Genomic DNA, 27,501 nt, shown 5'->3' on the forward strand with positions numbered 1-27,501 from the left:
ACCTCGTGATCCGCCCACCTCGGCCTCCCAAAGTGCTGGGATTACAGGCGTGAGCCACCGCGCCCGGCCCCAAAGCAGTGATTCTCAAACCTCAGCTGTGTCAGGGTCACCGGGAGGGCCTGGGTCTGGTGAAATACCCCCAGTTTCTGATTCGGTGGGCCAGGGTGGGGCCTGAGAACCTGCATTTTCACGGATTCCCAGGCGATGCTTCTGCTGGTCGTCCGATCCCAGGCTTCAAGAACCAGTACCCACTTTGTGAGGCCGAGGTGGGAGGATTGCTTGGATCCTTGAGTTCGAGACCAGCCTGGCCATCATAGGGAGAACCTCCCCACCCCCAACCCCGCCACAGTTCTTTTTTTTTTTTTTTTTAATTAAAAAATAACTGGGCGTGGTGGCGCTGGCCTGTGGTCCCAGCTACTCCGGAGGCTGAGGTGGGAGGATCGCTGGAGCCCGGGAGGCGGAGGTTGCAGTGAGCTGTGGTGGTGCCACTGCACTCCAGCCTGGGCACCAGAACGAGACCCTGTCTCAAGAAAGATGAAAAGGAATATACTGGAGATTCTGAAGGCAATGACCACACTGACCACAGGTGAAACCCCGCAAAGACGGAGGAACCCAAAGAGCCACGAGAGCTGTGGGTGGAGACGGCCCAGGAGGCTGCAGCGGCCTGCTTTCAACAGCATACTTCTGGGTGGGACCCCCCGGGGCGGACACCGCCGCTCCCCTTGGCCGCGGTGGCGGGCGCCCCCTCCCGACGCTCTTGGGTAGTGCAACCCGGACCGCACAGCGGAGCGGCCGGCCCCCAGGTGGGCGGGGCCAACCCGGACCAGCCTCCCGCCGCCTCAAGTCCTTGGGTTGCTGGGACTGCAGGCCGCCGCGAAGACAGTCCCCGCCCGCCGGGTGGGCGGGCCCAAGGAGACCGCCCCGCTCTTCCCCCCGGGCCTTGATTGGTCAGCGTCGCCCTTGCGCGATGACGTCGTGCCTGGGCGGAAACTTTGCGAGAGTAGCGCGGGAGCTGAGAAGTTGCAGGGTTGAGTTGGTCCCGGCAAGTCCTTGAGCAGTTTGTTCCTCTGTCTTCCCGCTTCCTGGTGCCCCGACTGCGTCCCCACGAACGCCCCGTCCTTACCGCCGGCTGCTGTGGAGTGCCTCGCTGTCTCCCAGGTCCCCGAGTGAGCGTCGAATGGGACCTCTGTGGCTAGGGCAGGCCTGTGTGGGTGGCACTGAGAGGGAGGAGGGGAGGGGGATGTTCGCAGTTTCCTTGCGACCCCAGGGACTTTCTTTGTCCCCGCCATCCACCTCCTTAGGCCTTTGGGATCGCCGACTGGTCTAATGTCGCCGGCCCTTGTGGCTCTGGGAAATTAGCATTGATTAATCTTCCTAACAATTTTTGTTTTTATAGAGACAGGATCTCCCTATGTTGCCCAGGCTGGTCTCGAACTCCTGGGCTCAAGGTATCTTCCTGCCTCGGCTTCCCAAAGTGCTGGGATTACAGGCGTGAGCCCGGCCAGCTCCTAATAATGTTAAGTGCTTGCTAGGAGTCAAGCGCTGTGCTGAGCGCAGGGGCTTCCCACGTCATTGCGTCCCCAGTGCTTAGTGCCAGGCACTGAGCAGAGGCGCGATTCGTATTTGAACTAAAACGAACCCCGTCCCTGAGGAACAAGACCTCTACTGGGAAGTCAAAGAAATGAATAGTGATTGTATGGTGTGATGGGTGCTCAGCTCTTGGTGGACAGAAGTAAGGGGGAGGCTTGTTTGAGAAACGGATACCTGACCTAAGCCTTGGAGGAAGAGGCAGACACTGGAAAACTAGAGTCCCTGCGTTCTCTCACCACTTGCTAAAGGGCCTCTACAACCCCAGGAAACCTCAATAAACCTTTCCTTTCTCCAGATAGATGTCTGTTCTTGCAGATAATTAGAAAACGCATTGCAGAGTATTGGTTCTTTCCCTCTCATTAGGTTCCTGGTTTCAGAGAAGATGACCGAAGAAGTGGATTTCCTGGGACAGGACTCTGATGGGGGTAGTGAGGAAGTGGTCCTAACTCCTGCAGAGCTCATTGAAAGATTGGAGCAGGTAAGCATCCCAGATCGAATCCCTTTGCTCCAGTCAGCCTTTTTATTTAGTTCAACTGTGAATATCAGGGATCACAAGATGAGGAAACGGAATTTGGGGCTTACTTTAGAACAGGGACTGGATCTTACCATCTACATGGAAACGGGAAGCAAGAAGGACATCCTCTGTTAGAGACCTCATCATATCAAACACAGCATCCCCAAGTGGGGTCAGTAAGGGACAGCTTTGGGCACATTCAGTGAACAGTTCACAGAGCAAGGATCCACGTGATATTTTCAGGGACTGTAGAGGTCCCTGAACTTCTTTACCTTAGTCCCTTGAACATCTGCTGTTTCCCTGGAGAATGCCTGTTTAGCAAGAAAATGCTGAAATGCCTGTAAGGGAAAACTGGTCATATTTTTCCTTTTTCTCACATGTTTTTTCTTGAGTCGTCTGCTCTCCATATGTCCACTGCTTATCTAAAATCCTTTCTGAAATATTTCTCCTTTAAGTTGTAATAGCTATGACTTACTGCATATTTCCCATGTGCCAGTAACTGTGTTCTTTACACTTATATCTCATGATGCTCTGGTAACAGGAGTTCAGACTATCTGGATTTAAATCTGTCTGTGACACTCCTCTGTTATGTGATCTTGAGCAAGTTAGGGAGTTTGTCTCAAGCCGTTGCTTGCCTATAAAATTGAGACAATAGGGCCGGGCACGGTGGCTCAAGCCTGTAATGCCAGCACTTTGGGAGGCTGAGGTGGGCGGATCACCTGAGGTCCAGGAGTTCGAGACCAGCCTTACCAACATGGTAAAATCCCGTCTCTACTAAAAAACAAAAATTAGCCGGATGTGGTGGCGCATGCCTGTAATCCCAGCTACTCGGGAGGCTAAGGCCGGAGGATCACCTGAACCTGGGAGGCAGAGGTTGTGGTGAGCCAAGATCCTACCCACCATTGCACTCCAGCCTGGGCAACAAGAGTGAAACTCCGTCTCAAAAAAATAATAAAATAAAATTGAGATGATAATAGTGTCTATGTCCTGGAGTTTTTGATTAAATGTGGTAATTGTGTAAAGCACTCAGCATGCTATCTGACACATGATAAGCACTCACTAGATGTGAGCTGTTCATAGTAAGTATCCTTATCCTCTTGCTCTAACTGCCCCTTTCCAGAGCTCTCTCATGTTTGCTACTTTAGTATTCTTCATTCTTCCCTGCCATACATGATATCACGAATGACAAAACGGAACTAAAATGATTTTTAAATTATACCTTACATGATAATCCTTACTATTTAGCAGTGATTCTTAATCTGTTTTTATATCACAGACCTTTTTGAGAAACTGGTAGAAACTGTGGTCTTTCATCCCACAATAACGCACACATGCACCCATGCAGAATTTTGCATATGACTTCCAGGGGATCAGAGATCCCCTGAAATCCACCCACAGACCTAGTTTGTGGAACAGCATTAAGAATTCCTGGTTCGTTAGGAAAGGGTTCATTAAACAAAAATCAAAAGGCACATAGCATAAAGGAAAAAAGGGATACATTCCTGGAGTGCAGTGGTGTGATCTTGGTTCACTTGCAGCCTCCACCTCCCAGGTTCAAGCGATTCTCCTGCATCAGCCTCCTGAGTAGCTGGGCCTACAGGTGTGCACCACCACGCCTGGCTACTTTTTGTATTTTTAGTAGAGATGGGGTTTCACCATATTGGGTTTCGCTGTGTTGGCCAGGCTGGTCTTGAACTCCTGACCTTGTGATCTGCCTGCCTTAGCCTCCCAAAGTGCTGGGATTACAGGCATGAGCCTCTGTGCCCAGCCTGTTTGTACTTCTGGATTAGAGTGAAAAGACAGGCCACCAGGCTGGGAGAAGATATTTGCAAAATACTAATATGTAGCTGACACAAGATGATTATCCACAGTACATAAACAGCTCTTTCATACTGCCCAGTACAGACTGATACCTCAGAGAAGAAGAAAACAGGATGACCAATAAGCATATGAAAAAGATGTTCAACCTTTTTAGTAATCAGGAAAATGAAAATCATGAGATATCATCTCATATCTATCAGATTGGAAGAACTGAAAAACGTGAGCAATATAAAGTATGGCAAGAATGTAGAGCAGCTGAGCGCAGTGGCTCATGCCTGTAGTTCTAGCAACTCAGGAAGCCCAAGTGGGAGGTTCATTTGAACCCAGGAGTTTGAGACCATCCTGAGGATCATAGCGAGATCTTATCCCAAAAAGAGAAAATTAAGAATATAGGGCAGGCCGGGTGCGGTGGCTCACACCTGTAATCCCAGCACTTTGGGAGACCGAGAGGGGCGGATCACCTGAAGTCAGGAGTTCAAGACCATCCTGGCCAACATGGCGAAACCCCGTCTCTACCAAAAATACAAAAATTAGCCAGGCTTGTTGGCATGCCTGTAATCCCAGCTACTCAGGAGGTTGAGGCAGGAGAATCTCTTGAACCCAGGAGGTGGAGATTGCAGAGAGCCGAGATCATGCCACTGCACTCCAGCCTGGGCAACAGAGCAAGACTCCATCTCAAAAAAAAAAAAAAAAAAATGAAGAGCAATTTGCACACTTATATACTGCCGTGGGATATAAATAGGTATAATCGCTTTGGAAAATAATTTGTTATTGTCTAGTAAAGATGAAGGTGCACATACCTGCGGCCCAGTAGTTCCACCCCCAGGTACATACCTAGTGAAAACTTCCGCATGTACTCTAGGAGACATCCACAGTATGTTCACACATTGCTTGCAATAGTTAAAAATTAAAATAACCTAGACAACCGTAAACAAATAGCATTGAGAAAATATACCATACACAGTGGGAATAAAACAGCAGTGAAAATGAGTAAAATAACTCCTGAAACAGCATGAATAACAGGAACTTAATGTAGAACAATAACAACCATAAAATATGAGCTGCCAAAGAAACACTTTATGTAAAGTTCAAACTTGCAAAATTATTGTTCAAGGCAGAGCCGCCACCCTTGGGTGATGTGGCACACTGCTATGCCACAGATGCCTCTGTGTGGACCCCTGCACCTTCCAGGACAGCTGGAGCCCCAGGCTGGTTACTTTTTCAAGTGAGCATCATCGGGGTCCTTGAAAGGCAGCTAGAGGATGGGGCGGCGGGGGTTCTGACAGCACAGCTGCAGCTTGCTGGTGGGTAAGCTGCAGTAACATCTCATGCCTGATGCTCTAGTGCAGTGCCCTGAGTGCAGCCAAGGAAGTGACCCGCCACCTGCACGGCTGCCACAGCCAGATCCTGTCTCTTATGCTGTGTGGCACAGCCAAAGGGACAGCCTGACAGGGCTGCTGATGAGAACAGCTCCAGGAGCATATATAGGATACCCTTTAATGCCTGTAAAAAGTGATTTAAAAGTTGTTACCTGTAGTGCAGATTTGCTCATTTTAGTGATTGTTTTAGTTTGCTAGGGCCACAGAGCGAAGTCCCAAAGACTGGGTGGCTTAAATAGAAATTTATTTTCTTAATTCTAGAGGCTGAGGTCAAAGTGCCAGCATAGTTGTCTTCTTCCGAGTCCTCTGTCTTGGGTTTGTAGGTGACCATATTCTCCCTGTGTCCTTGCATGGTCTTCCCTCTCGTGTGTGTCTGTGTTAAAATTACCCCTTATCAGGGCACCAGTCTTACTGGATTAGGGGCCATCCTAATGACCTCATTTTAACTTAATCACTTCTTTAAAGACCTCCATCTCCAAATACAGTCACGGTCTGAGGTCCTGGAAGTTAGGTAGATTTTTGAGGGGCGGACACACTTCAGCCCGTAGCAATAATGAACAGATTGGCATTTAGAATTTTGATCAGGGGCCAGGCACAGTGGTTCAAGCCTGTAATCCCAACACTTCTGGAGGCTAATGCAGGGGGATGTCATGAGGCCAGGATTTCGAAGACCACTGTAGGCAACATGGTAAAACCCCATCTTTATTAAAAAAAATTTAAAAATTAGCCAGGCTTTGTGGTATGTACCTTTAGTCCCAGCTACTCTGGAGGCTGAGGCAGGAGGATCACTTAAGCCTTGGAGGTCAAGAATGCAGTGAGCCATTATCATGCCACTGTGTGACCAGAAACCAGATGTAGCCATTTCAAGCATAAAACCTGAGTTAAAAAAAAAAAAAAGATTGGATTTAGATACAAGTTTCTCAGTAAAAATTTTGGAAAGATTTATATGAAAGTTTTATACTAATATAAACTTCCACCTAATGTTTTATACTTTATTGTCATAATTTCATAATGTAAATGAAGTGGTCCCCAATACTACCCCAGTGTACCAGACAAGCACTATCATTTTCTTTGAATATCCTGTCATGAACAGGTTGAGAGGTGTTCTACAGAGATATGAACAAATGTAGTGAGACCATAAAGAAAATTCAACATGAAATTCAAGCTAATGATTACCTCTGAGGAGGGAGGGACACACAGGGTCTTTTTTTTTTTTGAGATGGAGTCTTGCTCTGTTGCCCTGGCTGGAGGGCAGTGGTGCAATCTTGGCTCACTGCAACCTCTGCCTCCCAGGTTCAAGCAGTTCTGCCTCAGCCTCCCAAGTAGCTGGGACTACAGGCGTGCCACGCCCGGCTAATTTTTTGTATTTTTAGTGGAGACGGAGTTTCACCATGTTAGCCAGGATGGTTTGATCTCCTGACCTCGTGATCCGCCTGCCTCGGCCTCCCAAAGTGCTGGGATTACAGGCGTGAGCCACTGCACCCGGCTTGTTCTTGTAGTTTTAAAAATTATTCAGTATTTGGCTGGGCTCGGTGGCTCACGCCTCTAACCCCAGCACTTTGAGAGGCCAAGGCAGGTGGATCACTTGAGGTCAGGAGTTCAAGACCAGCCTGACGAATACGGTGAAACCCTGTCTCTAATAAAAATACAAAAATTAGCTGGGCATAGTGGCACATGCCTGTAATTCCAGCTACTCGGAAGGCTGAGGCAGGAGAATCACTTGAACCCGAGAGGCAGAGGCTGCAGTGAGCTGGGATCATGCCTCTGCTTTCCAGCCTGGGCAACAGAGTGAGACTGTGCCTCAAAAATAAATAAAAATTATTCAATATTTAATAAAAATCAATCAAAAAGAAATGCTGCTCCTAATAAGCCCTCCAGAAAATATGATGTTTTCCCATGCATTATGCAGGTTTTTTTTGTTTGTTTGTTTCAGTCTGCAGGACTGTTACAGATGCTCAGGCTCTGCACAAATGCCTATGACTGTAGCCATACCCAGCATTTGGTAATGTGTCTTGACGGTGATCATGGGGAGAAGCAGACACTCAAGGACGTCAGAAAAAAATAAGTTGAGCCTGGTCAGCATATAATTCTGAGCTATGCTAAAACTACATTTCCTGTAATTGAAAGATAAGTGTAGCTTTCCTCAGTCACTTAGGGATATTTCAGTTCTCTAAGCCTTGGAAGTCTCTAAAATGAACCAAACAGCTGGGCCTGAGTCATAAATTAGAGCTTTAACCTCTGGCTCCAAAACTCCATAATAGATGAGCGCCTGTTTCTATTATGATCCTGTATACTTTGGGGCCATTAGTAAATTACTCAATCTGTATTTTTTCAATCAGATGAGGATAACTATATCCATTTTCTCTGAGATATGATGATGATGAATGAAAAATATTTGTGAAGTGCTCTGAGCTTCAGGAATGAAGAGCTGTGTGGATTGGTGGGTTATTGCTTTCTCTCTAAATAGACATGGGGTGGCGCTGCCTGGGGGAACAGTGTGCCCGGGCTGCCTGGCAAAGGCACTATTTGAACACCAGGTGGTGTCACTCTCAGCACCAAGCGTCACACTAACTGAAGTAAGCAAGGGTTTGTATGAGTGTCAGTTGAATAGAAGGTTGTGAACACAGCCTCCCAACTAAAACAAGACACGAGAAAGCAATCGCTAAACGTAGTTTGTCTTCAAAACACCTTCAATGTTTCCAGTTGGTGGGCAGACAGTTTTCTTGCCTGCGCCATCCCTGGTTTTCGTTGGACTTGGGCTGACTCACTGGGTTGTTTAGCTCTGTGGTGGGTGATGCTTGCTTTTTCTGGCATTTGTCTTTTAGGCCTGGATGAATGAAAAGTTTGCCCCTGAGCTGCTGGAGAGCAAGCCTGAGATTGTAGAATGTGTCATGGAACAGCTGGAGCACATGGTAAGAGTCGCTTGTCTTGGGTTGACAAAGGAGGAGAAAGGTAAAAGCATTTGGTCAGCACACTGAGAGCTTGTGGTCTGGTAGCAAATCTGTTTTGTTTGGCTCCACTCACAGTCCAGTTCTTTAAAACAACATTGAATTAGTTATCTATGTTTATCAATCTTGAGAGTGCCTGTAAATATCTGGATATTGGCTTCCCATGAAAAGTCTAAAATCCTGCATTTCTGCATGAGAACAGTTGACCAGAGCAGTCCCATGAGAGCTGTCCATCCATGTACTCCCTGCTCCCCACAGCCCCTGACTACCCACCCTTCTCTTGTAGCCTCCCCACCTGGCCCCTGCAAACATTTGAGTTTGTGGTCCCTGGCCTAGATGATCTGAGCATAAATCATTGTCAACTTCAGAGAAGCTGTAAAATGTGGATATTTCAGTTTCTCAGCTGGTGTTTTAATACTGCTTTTTAGACCCAATGGAAGTTTCGTCTGTGTGCTGTACTATCTCCCTTACAATCAGATTGGAGTTCTTTTGGAAGCCTCTGGCTGAACAGATTCTATTCAAATGGTCATTTTCTAAAAGTAAATGACTATTGTTTGTACTTTATACAATGATAAAATGAAAACTCACATGATATTTTTGTTTTCCTTGGACTGAAACATAGTCTGGGTCCTCAACGTTGCCGGTGATGATGGTTGAACATCATGTTTTTTATAAACCTTAATTTCTCATTTAATAGGAAGAAAATCTCAGGAGAGCCAAAAGGGAGGACCTGAAGGTCAGCATCCACCAAATGGAGATGGAGAGGATCCGCTACGTCCTCAGCAGCTACTTGCGGTGTCGCCTCATGAAGGTTTGACGTGGAGATACCTGGAGGGATTGAGACAGCACAGTCTGTAATGCAGACTGAATGTCCTGGGGAAAACTTGGGCTGGGGCCCAGGAGGGTCCAGGACCTGAAGATGCTGCTAAGAGCCCAATATCCATGTAGCTAAACTGTAAGGAGAGCGAGAGATTGCTCCACAGAAGCACAGAGGAACGTGTGTGGCCCACTGCGGGGACACCGCACACATTTTTAGTCTGTTCACCTGCCGAGTGAGTGGTTCCCCCTTGCGTTACAGCATGGCAGTGCTAAAGGGAGAGTTGTTGGCATTGGTCAATAGTGAATGCTGACTAGAGGAGAACTTGTTTCCAAAATTATTTTGTCTGTCAGATGGCCAACGTCAGTGTCAAATGAACCAGGATGACTTACATTCACCTACAGCTTTGTGGCTATCTAACTTACAAAAATGAAGTTGCAGGCCAGGCGTGGTGGCTCACACCTGTAATCCCAGCACTTTGGGAGGCTAGGCGGGTGGATCACCTGAGGTCAGGAGTTTGAGACCAGCCTGACCAACAAGGTGAAACCCCATTTCTACTAAAAATAAAAAAATTAGCCAGGCGTGGCGGCAGGCGCCTGTAGTCCCAGCTACTCAGGAGGCTGAGACAGGAGAATTGCTTGAACCCAGGAGGTGGAGGTTTCAGTGAGCCAAGATTGTACCACTGCACTCCAGCCTGGGCAACAGAGCGAGACTCCGCCTCAAAAAAAAAAAAAAAAGAAATTGCAAAACATTCCTAGTTTATAACTCTGAGAAATTCTTACTTCCTTGACATTTCATTTGGTTCTATGTGTCTCTTTAGTTATTACAAATAAGATAAATTATCTCTTCTACATGAGAATGCTTCAGCTATCTGAAGACTGCCCACAGTCTCCTCGAAGTCTTCTCTCAGGCATACATTTTAGCCATTCAAACCATTTACTCTCCTGGTCTCTTCTCTAAAAGGGTTCTTGTTTGTCTCTATCCTTCTTAAGTTACACTATCTTAAACTAAACACAGTATCCCAGTTGTAGTTTGACCAAGTTTGTGAAAAACAGAATGATCATTTCTCTTATTCTGGTTATTAAGCTGGTAGTAATGCCAACCACATCACATTAGCATATTTATCACATTAGCATATTGACAGGTACGCTGCCTGAGCTCATTCTTCACTCACGTGGACACTAACCCCTTTTAAGATGATAATTACCCCATCCAGTCACTGTCCTCTACTTGTATGGCTTAGGTTTTGGCTCCTTAAGTGTAGGGCTTGATACTTATCTCTCTTAAGCTTTATCTTATTAAATTGGGCCATTTCCCTTGTCTCTGGATGCTGATCTTGTCACCTAATGTATTAGCTGTCTCTTAATACTTTATGTCATCAACCCCCTTTTTTTATTTGTTTGGTTGTGTTTTTTTGTTTTTTTTGACAGAGTCTCACTCTGTTGCTCAGGCTGGAGTGCAGTGGCGCGATCTCAGCTCACTGCAACCTTCGCCCCCCAGGTTGACGTGATTCTGTTGCCTCAGCCTTCCAAGTAGCTGGGATTACATGCCCCTGCCACCAGGCCCAGCTGATTTTTAGAAGAGACAGGGTTTCACCATGTTGGCCAGGCTGATCTCGAACTCCTGACCTCAGGTGATCCACACCCACCTTGGCCTCCCAAAGTGCGGGGATTACAGGCATGAGCTACTGTGCCTGGCCCACATAAGGTTTTTGATGGCATGCTTACCAAAGCTGGTGATGACCAGTTACAGGCTCACGCCTATAATCCCAGCACTTTGGGAGGCCAAGGCAGGTGGATCACCTGAGGTCAGGAGTTTGAGACCAGCCTGGACAACATGGTGAAATCCTATCTCTACTAAAAATACAAAAATCATCTGGGTGTGGTGGTGGGTGCCTGTAATCCCAGCTACTTGGGAGGCTGAGGCCGGAGAATCACTTGAACCCGAGAGTTGGAGGTTGCAGTGAGCTGAGATCACACCACTGCATTCCAGCCTGGACAACACAATGAGACTCCATCTCAAAAAAAAAAAAAAAAAAAAAAAACCTTATGTGATTATTAATTGGACTGTGGCAAGGGTCTTTCACAAAAGACTTCCCTACAGTTTGACATCTACCCATTGAGTCAGCATTCTTTTTTCAGCCACTTAGGAGTCTCCCAATCCAAGCCGTCCCCTAGCCCCAGGTCCATAGCTTGCCTGCAAGGGTGTCTCAGAGACGTTGTCCTGTGTCTTATGGTGTGTCTCTCCACCCACCCTATCCCACCTCCAGGCCACATGTCCTTCCTCGGGAGGGTTGTGTAAACCCTCTTTATGTTAACCACATCCTTCTCTTTGACTTTTGCCAATGTTTTCATGAAGATTTTGCTTTATCCTCACAGATAGAGAAGTTTTTCCCTCATGTCCTTGAGAAGGAAAAAACACGTCCTGAGGGGGAGCCTTCCAGCCTCTCGCCGGAAGAGTTGGCCTTTGCCAGAGAGTGAGTGAGTGAGCCGTTGGCGTGGGGCACCTGGCTGGTTCAGCATGAGGCCTGTCCTAGAGGCCTGTGCGCTGCTGCCTGCTAACCTTGGACGTCCATCAGCTGTGTACACCACAGCGATTTGAATCCATGTCTTTCAGGTTCATGGCGAACACAGAGTCCTATCTGAAAAATGTCGCCTTGAAGCACATGCCCCCTAACTTACAGAAGGTGGACCTCTTTCGGGCAGGTAAACAGGACGTTCTCCCTGCAGGTGGCCCACCCATCCTCAGGTGTCCCAGGGTAGGATCCTCTCTTCACTGTTTTTACCCAAATACAAAAAAGTAAGTATGTAGATAAACAGAAAGAAGAGCAAGGATTCTAGCTAAAAACCAAAAAAATCACGGAAAGCAGATCCAATGGTAGGCATTTGAGCATTGCTTCCTTGTTCCCTGGGGTGGGCTGAGCCCCATGACTGCACTGGTGCTTGTAGACTCGGGCATGGAGCCGCGTTCGCCTTCAGTAGCCATCTGCTGAGCCTCTGTGAGGTGCTGGCAGCCCCGAGTACCAGCACTGCAGAGCCTACACCAACATTGCCCCTGCTTAGAGGGGCTGGCCATCTCTTCGTCACAGGTCCCAGAATGCACAGGGCTCGCCTAGCTGGAGGGGAGGGCTGAAACAGGAGGCTAGGGAGACCTCCAGTGAGTCCCTGTGGCCTCAGAAGAGGGAGCAGGTTGGAGGGTGTGGAGAGAGGAGGGAGGGGAGCCGGGGAAGGGGAGCTTGGCCGGAGCCCCTCCTCGGGCTTCTTCGCACCAGCCCCTGAGGGCTGCCGAGCAAGGAAAGGGAGGTATAGGCAGAGCCCTTACCGTCGGATCAACCCACCGGGGGCCCTGGCTTACAGGATAAAGCCCATGTTCCTCAGTGTTTCACAGTGCGCCAGATCCAAGCAAGACCTCCTCAGGCAAAATTGCCATACCAAATCAAACGAGCTCCAGTACACCCGAGCCCTGGAAATTCATCTCTGCCCAGCCTGTGCTGGGGCTGGGGACCACACAGCCACCCCTGCGGTGGTGGAACAGGGTCTTAGTCCCTTTGGGCTGCTCACAGTTATGGAGACTGGGAAGTCCAGGATCCAGGCCCCCACAGACTCAGTGTCTGCCAAGAGCCTGTTCCTCATAGATGGCGCCTTCCATATGTCCTCACAGAGAAGGGAAGGGGCAAGCAGACTCTCAGGCTACTTTTATAAGATCACTAATCCTAGTCTCTGTGTGTCCTAGTCCCCTCCCTCCCCCCCACCTTTTGATTTTTGTTTTTTGTTTGCTTTTTATTTTTTGAGACAAGGTCTTGCTCAGTTGCCCCAGCTGGAGTAGATTGACGCTGTCATAGCTCACTGCAGCCTTGAACTCCTGGGCTCAAGCGATCCTCCCACCTCAGCTTCCCAAGTAGCTGGAACTACAGGCATGTGCCACCATGCTTGGCTATTATTTTTAAAATTTTTTTGTGGAGACAGAATCTTGCCATGTTGCGTAGGCTGGTGTCAAACTCCTGGCCTCAATTGATCCTCCAGCCTCAGCCTCTCAAAATGCTGAGATCACAGGCATAAGCCACTGTGCCTGGCCTATTCTCTTCTTATAAGACACCAGTCAGATTGGATTAGGGCCCACACTACTTGGCCTCGCTTTCACTTAATTGCCTCTTTAAAAGCCCTGTTTCCGAATACAATCCCACGCTGAAATACTGGGGGTTAGGGCTTCAGCGTATGAATTGTGCAGGGACACAGTGTAGCCCATAACACCAGGAGCAAGTCAGACCCATACCAGACTTGTGGAACCCTGAATTGGTCATTTTGCTGAGGCTGCCTGAGGAAAACAAAAGGCCCAATGCGTGTCCGGTTTCCTCCCTGGTCAGCCACTCTGTCTGCATCTTTGAAGAGTAGGAATGGGCTGGGCTCCTATCTAAACCCTGAGTGTGCCATACCATTCTTCCCAGCAACTTTTACTTTGTTGACTTTGTTGGCCGAGGATTTCCTAATCACATTGTTGTTTTCCTGGCAGTTCCCAAACCAGATCTAGATTCTTACGTGTTTCTGAGAGTGAGAGAACGACAAGAAAACATACTGGTAGAACCAGACACAGATGAGCAGAGGTGAGTGGCGTGCATCTTTCACAGTGGGCACATTCCTCCCGATGGAGGGCCAGCCGAGCTCTGCAGGCAAATGTGTTTCCCTCTTTTTCAGGGACTACGTGATTGACCTGGAGAAGGGCTCACAGCACTTGATCCGATACAAAACCATTGCACCTCTGGTTGCATCTGGAGCTGTCCAGCTAATTTAAAACTAGGCATAAACAGCCAGGCATGGTGACTCAAGCCTGTAATCCCAGCACTTTGGGAGGCCGAGGCGGGCGGATCATGAGGTCAGGAGTTCGAGACCAACCGACCAACATGGTGAAACCCCATCTTTACTAAAAATACAAAATAATTAGCCGGGTGTTGGTGGTGTGCACCTGTAATCCCAGCTACTCAGGAGGCCGGGGCAGGAGAATCGCTTGAACCTGGGAGCAGGAGGTTGCAGTGAGCCGAGGTCGTGCCATTGCACTCCAGCCTGGGTGACAGTGAGACTTTGTCTCAAAAAAAAAAACAAAAAACAAAAAAAAAACAAACTAGGCATAAACTCATGAGGTCAGGAGATCAAGACCATCCTGGCTACTAAACCCCATCTCTACTAAACCCATCTCTACTAAAAATACAAAAAATTAGCCAGGCATGGTGGCGGGCCCATCTACTCAGGAGGCTGAGGCAGGAGAATGGTGTGAACCCGGGAGGTGGAGCTTGCAGTGAGCCAAGATCGTGCCATTGCACTCTAGCCTGGGCGACAGAGCGAGACTCCATTTCCAAAAAAAACACACTAGGCGTAAACAAGAATGAAGACCTGGAACCGTAGAGAAAATACTAGAAACCCCTCGTATCACGTTGTGCCTGAGGACAATAATAAAGTAGTTTACTAGGCATCAGACATTCCTCAGCAGTGCTGTGGGTCACGGGCGTGAAGCGGAGCTCGAGGCAGGATTGCTTGTGTTGCTGCATGTCCTGTCTGCTGTTTTAGCCCGTGTCAGTAGATGGGGCCATTGTACTGTTTGTTCTGCACACTTGGCGGAGCAGCAGAGGCTCTCAGCACGCCTTTTCCCTTTGTAGTATTTTCTGAGCTAAGGAAAGTCAGGCAGAAGTAGTTCATAAGAAGGCATCACTGCCTGTGATCGGGGCTGCATTTAGCCCTGACCTGATAATGGTAGGAGAGTTCATTTAGCCTTTCTGCTGCGAAGATTGTAAATAGATTAAAGAAAACAGCTGTGGCCTTCTCCCGTCATACATCATTAGACTGTGTAAACTAACATTTTAGAACCTCTAATATTGGACTTAAAACCAATTTCTGTCGTGCTTAATTGAAAATCACAACTAAACCAATAAACCATTATTAAATTTCCATTCTGCAGCAGAAGGCACCTCTGGACGGCTCCCGGCTTGTAGTTTAATGAAGTATGTGCTCCCTGCTGTTAACCCGCAGCCCTCCCCAACTCTCCAGCAGCTTTGCCAAGTCAGCCTCCGGGCCATCTGGCTGTCCTTGGCCAAGGCACTGTTAACGGAGTGACGTTAACCATCTTGTATTGTGACCTGTGGCCGCTTTTCTGGTTTAAGTCCTTCACTTTTTCAAGAGGAATGGATGAAATTAATGTGCATGCAGAGTCTCACAGTGATGCCGGAAGGAAGGATGTATAGGCAGTGAATGAATGATCTTTCCTTGAAATGCTATAAAAAGCAACCTGCATTCCAGTCTTTTCTTCCTGGTTGAAGTTGGCAGATTTCCATTTGCAGGGTATGGGCTGCGAGAGTAATCAGGGTAACATTGCTGTCATTTCCAAGAGAAATCAGTAGGGGAAAGCAAGGGAGGTCTTTTTTTTTTTTCTTTTTTGAGACGGAGTTTCCCTCTTGTTACCCAGGCTGGAGTGGCAGTGGTGTGAACACGGCTCACTGCAGCCTCCACCTCCTGGGTTCAAGAGATTCTCCTGCCCCAGCCTCCCGAGTAGCTGGTATTATAGGTGCACACCACCACACCCAACTAATTTTTTGTATTTTTAGTAGAGATGGGGTTTCATGATGTTGGCCAAGCTGGTCTCGAGCTCCTGACCCCAGGTGATCCACCCACCTCGGCCTCCCAAAGTGCTGGAATTATAGGCGTGAGCCACTGCGCACGGCCTGGGGAGGTTTTATTTCTTGACAAAGGTATTTGATACTCGTGCAGTCCCTGGAGGGTCTCACTGGAGAGACAACATTTAGGCTGAGATCTGATTAACAGGAGGCAGCTGCAGTGCAGAGGTCAAAAGGGAGGGTGTTCCAGGCAGAGAAAACAGCCTGTGCAAAGGCCCTGAGGCAGAAACAAACTCTACTTGAGGTCAGCCTGGTTAGAAAGCCCAACTCAAAATAGAAAGTATTACATGATAAGGTCTGAGGCAGGCTGGACCCAGATCTTACAGGACCTTGTTAATAAGGATCCCATTTGGTCCCCCACAGTCCTGAGAAGCGGGCAGGGCTGTGGGAAACAGCAGATATTTAGTGGTAAGCCTGAGATCAGAACCCAAGTCTGCACTTCCTAGTCACGTTCTCCCTGTAGTGCTAAGCCCAGAGACCTGAGCTGTTAACCTAGAACAGTGTGCTTCCTAAGCCTTAATGTGCATACCCATCGCCTGGAGCTCGCCTTAAGATGTAGGTTCTGCCTGAAGCCCAAGTTCATTTAGTATGTCATGGTTAATTCAGAGTAAAATCAAGAGTTAGTACTTGATTTATGCTTGTTATATAAAGAAAGAGACAACTTCACTGTATGATCATTTTGTCACTTTTCAAAAGCATTTAATTCCCATTCAATTGAAAATGTTTCAAGAACAAACCTGTTTGGTCATTTTATTGATATTGCACATTTGTATATGAATAAATTTTTGCAAATTAAAAAAAAAAAAGATGTAGGTTCTGAAACAGGGTGAGGTCCAGGATCCTGCCTTTCTAAGGAGCTCCCATGTTGTGCAGTTGCTGCTGGCCCGGGGACCACATTGAATGACGGCTCTACGTCCTCATGCCTCCAGCTGCTGCCCTGTACATGTCCAACTGCACGGAGCACTTTACATCCTCTAAAACCACAGTAAATTGCTCCATTTCCTAAATTACCTCTTCAAGAGAAGACTGGTTTTGATGTCATTTTTAAATAAAGGAGAAGTTGAATTTCAAAACCAAGTGGAACAGGAAATGATGTGACTTGGTTGACATTGATTTTAACATTTGGTTCATGGTGAGTGTTTTGCTTTATTGTTAAAAACTCGCCACTAAAAGCATGACAGAACATTTTATCAAATGATGGCGTCATCCTTTACCGTAAGTTTGCCCCTAGCAAGACAGCTCTTCCTGAGACGTGCTTGCAGGCCGCTATGTGGGTTTTCCCACCGCAGTCATCATCCGTCATCTGTGACCTTGCTGCATTTACTCCATGCTCACACCCCAGCAGCCCGCCTGGCTTTGGCATCGCCCTCAGAGGCATCAAACTTCCCCTGCTGCAATGTACAAGAGTTAGCCAGGAAGCTTGCAGAGTGCTTTGGTTTTGTTTTGTTTTTTTGACATGTCGCCCTGGCTGGAGTACAGTGGTACAATCTCAGCTCACTGCAACCTCCGCCTCCTGGGTTCAAGCGATTCTCCTGCCTCAGCCTCCCAAGTAGCTGGGATTACAGGTGCACACCATGACACCCAGCTAATTTTTGTATTTTTAGTAGAGATAGGGTTTCACCATGTTGGCCAGCCTGGTTTTGAACTCCTGACCTCAAATGATCTGCCTGCCTCGGCCTCCCAAAGTGCTGGGATTACAGGTGTGAGCCACCATGCCCAGCTGCAGAGTGCATTTTTAAGCAAACACATCATATGTCAATTCTTCATATAGTGTTCTTTAATTTATCTTGGGAAGCCAAATATCCCATTTAGAATTCTGTAAGAACTGATTTTTCAAATGTATCTAATCAACTAGCTATGAAAGCCCTCTCATTATATTGTCCAAAAAACCTTTGTTTTTTAAAAAAACAAAATCAGTATTCTGTACTTATTTAACAGATTTGGTTTCAAATAGCTTGGCTATTTCCGAAAAATCGGATATTCATTCCATGGCTAAGAAACAACTACTGGGTATATTCAAAGAGATGTACCGGCCCAGGCTTGGTGGCTTACACCTGTAATCCCAGCAACTTTGGGAGGCCAAGGTGGGAGGATCGCTTGAGCCCAGGAGTTCCAGACCAGCCTGGGCAACATAGTGAGACTCTGTCTCTACAGAGAATAAAACAATTAGCCTGGCGTGCTGATGTGCATCTGTAGTCCCAGCTGTTTGAGAGGCTGAGATAGGAGGATTGCTTGAGCCCAAGAGGTTGAGGCTGCAGTGAGCTATGATTGCACCACTGCAATCCAGTCTGAGTGACAGAGCAAGACTCTGTCTCAAATATATGTGTGTATACATATATATATATGAGATTCTTTTTTTTTTTTTTTTTTTTTTTTTTTGAGATGGAGTCTCACTCTGTCACCCAGGCTGGAGTGCAGTGGCACGATCTCAGCTCACTGCAACCTCTGTCTCCCGGGTTCAAGTGATTCTCCTGCCTCAGCCTCCCAAATAGCTGGGACTACAGGTGTGTGCCACCACGCCCGGCTAATTTTTTGTATTTTTAGTAGAGATGGGGTTTCACCATGTTAGCCAAGATGGTCTTGATCTCCTGACCTCATGATCTGCCCACCTTGGCCTCCCAAGTGCTGGGATTACAGGTGTGAACCACCACGCCTGGCCGTATATATAGGAGATTCTGCAGGCAATGAGAATATTTAATTTACCAAGTTTACTATGCATGAAGCTCTTTTTGTTTTTGTTTTTGAGACAGAGTCTTGCTCTGTTGCCCAGCCTGGAGCGCAATGTCACAATCTTGGCTCATTGCAACCTCCACCTTCCGGGTTCAAGCAATTCTCCTGCCTCAGCTTCCCGAGTAGCTGGGATTACAGGCACCTGCCACCACATCTGGCTAATTTTTTTTTTTTTTTTTTTTTTTTTTTTTTTTTAGTAGAGACAGGGTTTCACCATGCTGGCCAGGCTGGTCTCGAACTCCTGACCTCAGGTGATCCGCCCGCCTCAGCCTCCCAAAGTGCTGGGATTACAGGCGTGAGCTACCATGCCTGGCCACATCAAGCTGTTTTTAAAGTAGATTAACTTGTAAATCTCCACAACATACCTATGCAAGGAAAAATTTGAGATTTTGGAATGGGCAAAACATTACTGGCTATCCTTTCAATGTAATGCTTGATCCCTGTGTGCTGTGTGCCCATGTCTTTAAATTTTACAACTCTGTAGAGGTACAAGTTGATTTATAGAAAACTTATAATGATGTGAATATTTCTTGTCTTGCTATGCAGATGATGCCTGCCCATGGCAATATAAGTGAATTTTGTCCTGTTGAGAATAAGTCAAGCCCCCATTTGATTGGATGTTTTTGTTTTGTTATAATTTGGTGGGACATAGTCTCGCCCTGTTGCCCAGGCTGGAGTGCAGTGGCAATCTCGGCTCACTGCAACCTTTGCCTCCCGGGTTCTAGTGATTCTCCTGTCTCAGCCTCCCCAATAGCTGGGACTACAGGCATGTGCCACCACACCTGGCTAATTTTTGTATTTTTAGTGGAGACGGGGGTTCGCCATGTTAGCCAGGCTGGTCTCGAATTCCTGGCCTGAAGTGATCCATCTGCCTTGGCTCCCAAAGTGCTGGGATTACAGGCATGAGCCATGGCATCTGGTGAGCTTTGATACCAGACTCCTTTGCTGAAGGCCACATCACTTCTAAGTAGAGATGTGATCAAACCCCAGTGAGGCCAGGGCACCTGAGTCCATCCTTTTCATCTTACTGTAATCTTTCTTTCCACAAAAGAAAAGAAGATCCAAAAATGTTTTCAGCAACAATAGCTTCACTGGAATAAGTTCTCATATTCGAAAAAGACTCATTTGAGGGAATAACCACTGCCATTCACATTGCTTTAGAGGAGGTGGCATTTTTCTCAACATAGCTTTCTGTTTTAACCAGGTCATATTCTATGTAACACAATGCTGACAAATTCTGCCTAGCTTGTTAAGACAAAACCACTCGAAGTAAAGTCAGCACACAATTAACCTAAGTCTTGCTTCTTGTTCAGTTCTATTAGTTTCTATGGAAATAAGAATAAAAGTAAATGACTATTTTTGCTTCTAAGGAATTTACAATTAATCCTGAGAAGATGTCTTAAGTGTAAACCTAAAAGTATGGGATTTTTTGGCTCAAAAAAAAAATTTTCCTAACGGCCAGGCCTAGGGTTAAGAGGAAGTTATTTTCTTGGGTTCAGAGATTTGCATATGAATGTTTTAAGCCTCTTAAAGTGACTTAAAACAACCTGGGACCCAAAGTTGTTGCCAGCTCAAATGTAAATGTTTTTAAACTTCAAATTGCTGCTTCTGTTATCACTGAACCTATTAATTTTCCTTAAACAGAATTCTGACCATTTCATTGCCTCTTAAAAAGCTTCAGTGGGCCAGGCACAGTGGCTCACAGCTGTAATCTCAGCACTTTGGGAGGCAGAGGCGGAGGATTACCTGAGGTCAGGAGTTCAAGACCAGCCAAGCCAATATGGTAAAACCCCATCTCTACTAAAAATATGAAAATTAGCTAGGCATGGTGTCAGGTGACTGTAATCCCAGCTACTTGGGAGGCTGAGGCAGGAGAATCACTTGAACCCGGGAGGCGGAGGTTTCAGTGAGCCGAGATCTCGCCATTGCACTCCAGCCTGGGCAAAAAGAGTGAAACTCCATCTGAAAAAAAAAGCTTCATTGGTTACTCATTGCCTACAGAAAAGGAAACAGTAAAGGAGATTAATATTTATCTGTGTCTTGGACAATAGGCAAATTGCTTTCCATGAATTATCTTATTTAATCCTCATAAGGACCCTATGAGATAAGCGCCAGCTCACCACGGTACCCCAGCTTCCTGGTCAAATTGTCCTCTTTCCCTAAATAGTTTATGACCTCTTTTTTAATATCTACAGTTTTACTATTTTATTAAAATCCCACCAAATTCTTTGGGGAATTAAGTAAGGTGTACAAGTTTTCATATGAGAAACACTGGAGTGATTTGGGCACACATAGCTTTCTGGTCGGCCTGCAATCTCACTTCCAGAATAGGTCATGAAAATAACAGTGAGAAATGGCCTCTCCCACACCCAGCTTCACGTGTTAAAGCGTGTGCTGTCCACTCCCACTTCTGTTTGCAGACGTGGCTGCCCTCAACCTCCGGACAAGTGATTTGGTCCTCAATCCAGGTGAGACTGTAGCAGGCCTCCTTTGTTTGTGTAGAAGATCATCAACTTTGCCATCTTCTGGCATCTGAAGCTTTCTGATCTCCAGTCAACAACATAACGTGTACCCTTTGGGTCCTCTTTAGTGAGCTCATGGGTAGGCTGCTGCCCACACTCTTGTCAACAGTTTAACAACTAACACGAGAGAGCCGAAGGGCTGTTTCTTCAGTCCATTTCTCTTGGTTCTCCAACTTTTTTTTTGAGACGGAGTCTCACTTTGTCGCCCAGGCTAGGGTGCAGTGGCGTGATCTTGGCTCACGGCAACATTTGCCTCCTGGAGTCCAAGCGATTCTCCTGACTCAGCCTCCAGAGTAGCTGGGACTACAGGCGCATACCACGGCGCCCAGCTAATTTTTGTATTTTTTGTAGATATGGATGGTGTCTCACCATGATGCCCACACTGATCTCGAACTTCTGAGCTCTGGCAATCCACCCACCTCAGCCTCCCAAAGTGCTAGGATTATAGGCATGAGCCACCACTCCCAGCCATCCAACTTTTACTTCTGTATCAAACTGGATCCCATTAGTCAGTATTTCTGGATGAATGTTTTAGTTCTTTGCTTTTAGCAAAGAGACAGCCATGTGAAAAACATTTCCATGTTTTCTGAAAATTAGAACTGAAGGCATTATCTATTACATATCCATTGTTTCTATATAAGAATCCCTGTAATAAATTTTTCTCAGAATTCAGTGCAAGTAAAAGTTTATATTTTCAAACTTTATGGTTCATTTTATCAGACAAATGAGTCCTATCTGTTCCCCTTCCCGGCCTTCCTACCAGGAACTCAGAGCCACTTTGTGTGCCCCTGCCTCCCTCTGAGCTTCCTTGTGTCTTTCCTTAAATAGTTTCCGATCTCCTTATGATACCTACAGTTTCAATCTTCTATTTTGCCTTAATTTTAAAAGCTACCCCAAATTTGGGGAAGAATTACATAAAAGATATATAAGTACATATTAGTAACTTGGATATATATTAGTTCCCACTTTTTAAAACATGTATGGGAATGAGTGATTTATAAGCCATTTGACAGCATATGAATTCCTAAGTAGGAAAATTCATAAGCAAAAGTGGTAATGAAGGCAGGAGGTGTAGTGTCCTCTCACTCCAGCACTTGTTTAAAAAGAGTGGCCAGGTGAGGTAAGTGACCTAGTAACAACAGCAGGTGCCAGGTATAACTCCATTCACTTTAGTCAACAAACAGGTAGGCTGGCTGGGTGCGGTGCCTCACGCCTGTAATCCCAGCACTTTGAGAGGCCGAGGCAGGCAGATCACTTGAGATCAGGAGTTCAAGACCAGCCTGACCAACATGGTGAAACCCCCATCTCTACTAAAAATACAAAAAAAAAATTAGCCGGGCATGGTGGCGGGTGCCTGTAATTCCAGCTACTCGGGAGGCTGAGGCAGGAGAATTGCTTGAACCCAGGAGGTGAAGGTTGCAGGTGAGCCGAGATGATGCCACTGCACTCCAGCCTGGATGACAGAGTGAGACTGCATCTCAAAAAAAAAAAAAAAAAGGTGGGGTTAGACATTGTGGTATGTGCTGCACATTCAGAGAAGAAAGCCCCTGTCTTAAAGCAGCTTACAGTCTAGCGAGGGAGACCAACAAAAACCAAATCACAGCATACTATGCTTGTATAAAGGTAGGAATGGGCAGGGCACAGTGGCACACTTCTGTAATCCCAGCACTTTGGGGGGCCAAGATGGAAAGATTGTTTGAGCCCAGGAGTTCTAGATCAGCCTAGGCAATACAGCAAAACCTCACCTCTACCAAAAATACTAAAGCCAGGTGTGGTGGAATGTGCTTGTAGTCCCAGCTACTCAGGAGGCTGGGGTGGGAGGATGGTTTGTTTGAGCCCAACAGGAGGACATTGCAGTGAGCCAAGATGGCACTATTGCACTCCAGCCTGGGCAACAGAGCTAGACCATGCCTCAAAAAAAAAAAAAAAAGAAAAAGAGAAAAGAAAAAATGAATGAACAGGGGGTATTATGAAAAAACACAGGAAGAACTCGAAAGACTGGAAGAGTCCTGAAGTCTTCCCAGAAGAGGTGGTACCCAAGCCAAGACTTGAAACACTGGAGAGCTAGCCAGGCTGAGGAAGGAAGAGAGGATGGCTACTGGAGGCAGAAAGGTCACATGCAAAGGCACAGAAGCCACAGGGTGGATCCAGTACTCTGGAAACTCCCAGGAGTTGGGCATGGCAGGTGCATCAGACAAGATTCGGGGATAGGAGGAGAGGCAGTTTCCCATCTTGGAGGAGTCTTATAGGAGTCTCATGGGAGACAGGTTTTCAGACAAAAGTCTTCAGGAGTCTGATTTGTCATGCTAAAATGTAAATGTATGAATTTTGCATGAAAACATTTAGAAGGCTCTGAAAGATTTTAATATTTGATATAATCAGTTTTTTTGTTTGTTTGTTTGTTTTTTGCAGGGGGGGGTGGTGGGTGGACAGAGTTTTGCTCTTGTTCCCCAGGCTGAAGTACAGTGGCGCAATCTTGGCTCACTGCAACCTCCGCCTCCCAGATTCAAGTGATTCTCCTGCCTCAGCCTCCCGAGTAGCTGAGATTACAGGCATGCGCCACCACGCCCGGCTAAGTTTTGTAGTTTTAGTAGAGATGGGGTTTCACCATTTTGGTCAGGCTGGTCTCAAACTCCTGACCTCAGGTGATTCGCCTGCCTCAGCCTCCCAAATGGCATAAGCCATTGCACCCGCCTGATAGAATCCGTTTTACATTTTTATTTTATGTATTTATTATTTATTATTATTATTACCTTTTTTTTTTTTTTGAGGCAGTCTTGCTCTGTCACCCAGGCTGGAGTGCAGTGGCACAATCTTGACTCACTGCAACCTCCACCTCCCAGGTTCAAGCAATTCTCATGCCTCAGCCTCTGGAGTAGCTGGAACTATAGGCACATGCCACCACACCCAGCTAATTTTTGTATTTTAGCAGAGACGGGGTTTGTCTATGTTGGCCAGGCTGGTCTTGAATTCCTGACCTCAAGTGATCCGCCTGCCTTGGCCTCCCAAAGTGCTGGGATTACAGTCATGAGCCAGCACACCCAGCCCAGTTTTACGTTTTTAGAAATCCAGTTCACAGAGAAATCCCTCTGGTGACTGTGGAGAATGGAGGTCACACTGGAGGGTTAGGAGCCAGGGCTGTGTGGGCAAATCCAAGCCAGAAGGAATGAGGGTCTTGTAGTACATGCAGGAAGAGGTAACCTGGCAGTGTACTGGGCCTTCTGCTGCTGTAGTGGTGGACTAGGCCATATGGATCATTTTTAGTGAAGACAAACACTGGGTGAAACATAAAAAGCATTTTTCTAAAGCCATCAAGGAGCTAACAAGCTAGTGAGGAATTGTTGCACCAAGATCTAGAAGACCACAGTCAAAAGAGGTCAATACAGGCCGGGCGTGGTGGCTCACGTGTGTAATCCCAGCACTTTGGGAGGCCGAGGCAGGCGGATCACGAGGTCAGGAGACTGAGACCATTCTGGCAAACACTGTGAAACCCCGTCTCTACTAAAACTACAAAAAATTAGCCAGGCGTGGTGGCGGGCTCCTGTAGTTCCAGCTACTCAGGAGGCTGAGGCAGGAGAATGGCATGAACCCGAGGGGTGGAGCTTGCAGTGAGCTGAGATCACACTACTGCACTCCAGCCTGGGCAACAGAGCGAGACTCCATCTCAAAAAAAAAAAAAAAAAAAAAAAAAAGCGGGGGTCAATACAGCATTTGCCCAGGCCAAGTGGTAGCTGAGAGACAGCAGTGCTTCCAACAGCCTCAAGCAGCGATTTTAAATCTGGGTTTCATGGACCATGCAATTCAGAAGATTCATGAACTTGGCTAAGAAAAAAATGAAAAAAAAATACATTTTTTTTTGCACTAACCTCTAAATGAAGCTTAGATTTCCCTTCTATTATGAATCTAGGCAACAAGCCACAGTAATATATGTGTGTGTGTGTGTGTGTATATACATTTTTTGAGATGGAGTCTCGCTGTGTCACCCAGGCTGGAGTGCAGTGGCGCGATCTCAGCTCACTGCAACCATTGGCCAGGCTGGTCTTGAACTCCTGACCTCAGTGATCTGCCTGTCTTGGCCTCCCAAAGTGCTGAAATTACAGGTGTGAGCCACTGTGCCTAGCCAAGCCACAGTAATATTATCAATTGGTAACAAAGTCACAAGTACTGATAAGCCACAGTAATATTATCAGTACTTGTGACTTTGTCACCAACAGAAATCAGATACCTTCCTACCACATTTACAGTTGTTGCAGATATCTCAAAACGTCATTTACATTCCTATTTTAAAATTTCAGTCATCATTAGACCTGCTGCCAGAACATGTTATGTAATGCATTAATAAAGAAGCACATGTGCTACTGTTATTGCAAATTTGTTTTTTAATGTTTTGATCACTGTGTTTCAACATAATAGATTTCCTTTGACATTACATATTTTATTTATGCATTAAAAAAATATTGTTCTCACTTTGGGAGGTCAAGGTGGGAGGATCACTTGAGCCCAGGAGTTTGAGAGTAGCCTAGGCAACGTAGACCCCATCTCTACAAAAACTACAAAAGTTAGCTTGGCATGATGGCATGCACCTGTAATCCCAGCTATTCAGGAGACTAAATTGGGAGGATCACTTGAGGCCAGGAAGTTGAGGCTGCAGTGAGCCGTGATCATGCCTGGGTGACAGAATGAGACCCTGTCTCCAAATAAACACACACACACTGACACACACCTACATATGTACATATAAAATGTATATAATGTACATATATAAAATGTATATGTATAGGTACATAGTTCTGAGAAGGAGTCATAGCTTCATCAGAATACCCACGGGGTCTGTGGAACAAAAATCATGAAGCACCACCAACCCAGTGGGACTAAAGGGGCAATGCTAGAGTTTAGTGCCTATGAATGCTGGGAGTTCTGGTAAACCACCTTGCAGAATTACTATGTATTGTAATACATAGTATTACATTGTATAAGTGTATAAATACATAGTATTACATTATATAAATGTATAAATAATACATAGTATTACATTGTATAATACAAACTAGGAGTAAAAGTGAATTAGAAGTCAACTGCCCCTCATACACACACAGATGTTAGTCCAGCTTTGAATCATGTAGATGGCCCTGAAAATCTCCAAATTATAAATTGAATTAAAGCTATCCAGATTGCTGGTGGCTTCAAGAAGTAAACTAAAATCATCTCTGAGGACAGATAACATCTCACTTTGTCGCCCAGGCTGGAGTGCAGTGGCGTGATCTTGGCTCACAGCAACTCCACTAATTTTTGTATTTTTAGTAGAGACGAGGTTTCACCTGTGTTGGCCAGGCTGCTCTCAAACTCCTGACCTCATGTGATCCACCCGCCTTGGCCTCCCAAAGTGCTGAGATTACAGGCATGAGCCACGATGCCTGGCCTCAAATGACTTCTATTAGTAATTTTTCAAATACAATGTCTAGCATAAAGATAACTAGGCACATATGGAGAAAAGATAGTATGAATGAGAACCAATAGAAGCAACAGATAATACAAACAGGTACTCCAGACAGTAGAATTACTAGACAGTCTGGAAAACAACCATGCTTGTGGAGATAAAAGATGAACTCAAGAATTTCAGCAGGGAACTAGTATCAATATAAAGTAACATTGCAGATTTGAAAAAAATGTTAGCAATAGGCATGTCTGAGAGGAGAGGACAACCATTTAGATTGGAGGTGGGTGGGAAATTAAAGACAGAAGAGTCTAGAATGATATCTGAGTGAAAACAATAATTACATTAATCAGTGCAGTGGCATATAAAAAAAGAAGACGCTATTAGTTGGAAGAGGAGTAAAGTGATGTCCTAGCTTTCTCTTTCAGCTACATGCAATCTTTTTTTTTTTTTTTTTTTTTTTTTTTTTTGAGACAGAGTCTTGCTCTGTCACCCAGGCTGGAGTGCAGTGGCATGATCTCAGCTCACTGCAGTCTTCGCCTCCCGGGTTCAAGCAATTCTCCTGCGTCAGCCTCCCAAGTGGCTGGGATTACACGCATGCACCACCACACCCAGCTATTTTTTTTTTTTTTTTTTGTATTTTTAATAGAGACAGGGTTTCACTATGTTGGCCAGGCTTGTCTGGAACTCCTGACCTCAGGTGATCCACCCACCTCAGCCTTCCAAAGTGCTGGGATACAGGCATGATGCCCAGCCAAGCTAGATGCAGTCTCGTTGTCTGGATATACTATAATTTACTTAAACAATTCCCTGGAAATGATTAGATTGTTTCCAAACTTTTGCTACTACAACCACGGCTGCATTGAATACTCTTGTATATGTGTCATTTCATTCATGCCTAGGGATAAAGTGGAATTATTGTAATATACTTTATATATTGTGCATACTAATCCTGTGTTGTTGGTCACATGCACTGCAGATATTTTCTGTGGTGTGTCATTCAGTTTTTTTGGAGACAGGGTCTCAGTCGCCCAGGGTGGAGTGCAGGGGCATGTGATTCTCCCACCTCAGCCTCCTGAGTGGCTACA

The 27,501-nt window shown here is 46.1% G+C and overlaps 1 protein-coding gene and 1 long non-coding RNA gene across 3 annotated transcripts in view, besides 4 other annotated features; one reads left to right on the top strand and one right to left on the bottom strand.

Moving 5' to 3' along the window:
* Positions 577-1,006: a silencer, noted in NCBI's record as "silent region_19143". NCBI's record gives its function as "represses an Ori minimal core promoter by ATAC-STARR-seq in GM12878 lymphoblastoid cells {active_cell/tissue: GM12878}" and the evidence as "EXISTENCE:reporter gene assay evidence [ECO:0000049][PMID:35858748]".
* GINS4 (GINS complex subunit 4) lies at positions 1,031-16,800 on the top strand. Of its 2 annotated transcripts, none has more exons than NM_032336.3 (8): positions 1,031-1,166; positions 1,954-2,068; positions 8,130-8,216; positions 8,950-9,063; positions 11,448-11,545; positions 11,686-11,774; positions 13,579-13,669; positions 13,761-16,800. In NM_032336.3, exons 2-8 carry the CDS (start codon positions 1,973-1,975, stop codon positions 13,855-13,857), a joined length of 672 nt encoding a protein of 223 aa, NP_115712.1. In that variant the 5' UTR covers positions 1,031-1,166; positions 1,954-1,972; the 3' UTR covers positions 13,858-16,800. The 2 variants fall into 2 exon arrangements, with proteins under 2 accessions (NP_115712.1, XP_005273716.1); XM_005273659.5 differs by having other exon boundaries at positions 1,031-1,158.
* The window catches only part of GPAT4-AS1 (GPAT4 and GINS4 antisense RNA 1), a 44,064-nt gene continuing 22,637 nt past the window's right edge, over positions 6,075-27,501 (bottom strand). Inside the window, exons 2-3 of the long non-coding RNA NR_125824.1 lie at positions 8,841-9,080; positions 6,075-6,180 (exon numbers count right to left, since the gene is read on the bottom strand). This is a non-coding gene — a long non-coding RNA (GPAT4 and GINS4 antisense RNA 1). The remainder of the gene's footprint in view (positions 6,181-8,840; positions 9,081-27,501) is intronic.
* Positions 14,717-14,946: an enhancer, noted in NCBI's record as "active region_27285". NCBI's record gives its function as "activates an Ori minimal core promoter by ATAC-STARR-seq in GM12878 lymphoblastoid cells {active_cell/tissue: GM12878}" and the evidence as "EXISTENCE:reporter gene assay evidence [ECO:0000049][PMID:35858748]".
* Positions 16,911-17,060: an enhancer, noted in NCBI's record as "active region_27286". NCBI's record gives its function as "activates an Ori minimal core promoter by ATAC-STARR-seq in GM12878 lymphoblastoid cells {active_cell/tissue: GM12878}" and the evidence as "EXISTENCE:reporter gene assay evidence [ECO:0000049][PMID:35858748]".
* Positions 17,121-17,210: an enhancer, noted in NCBI's record as "active region_27287". NCBI's record gives its function as "activates an Ori minimal core promoter by ATAC-STARR-seq in GM12878 lymphoblastoid cells {active_cell/tissue: GM12878}" and the evidence as "EXISTENCE:reporter gene assay evidence [ECO:0000049][PMID:35858748]".

The sequence above is a fragment of the Homo sapiens genome, chromosome 8, assembly GCF_000001405.40.
Source record: "Homo sapiens chromosome 8, GRCh38.p14 Primary Assembly".
NCBI classification, from domain to species: domain Eukaryota; kingdom Metazoa; phylum Chordata; class Mammalia; order Primates; family Hominidae; genus Homo; species Homo sapiens.

Coding starts and splice junctions, on each gene's coding strand:
- GINS4 (NM_032336.3), top strand. CDS start 1,973: ATGACCGAAGAAGTGGATTTCCTGGGACAGGACTCTGATGGGGGTAGT. Junction 8,217..8,949: donor TGGAACAGCTGGAGCACATG/GTAAGAGTCGCT, acceptor CTCATTTAATAG/GAAGAAAATCTCAGGAGAGC. Junction 13,670..13,760: donor CCAGACACAGATGAGCAGAG/GTGAGTGGCGTG, acceptor CCTCTTTTTCAG/GGACTACGTGATTGACCTGG.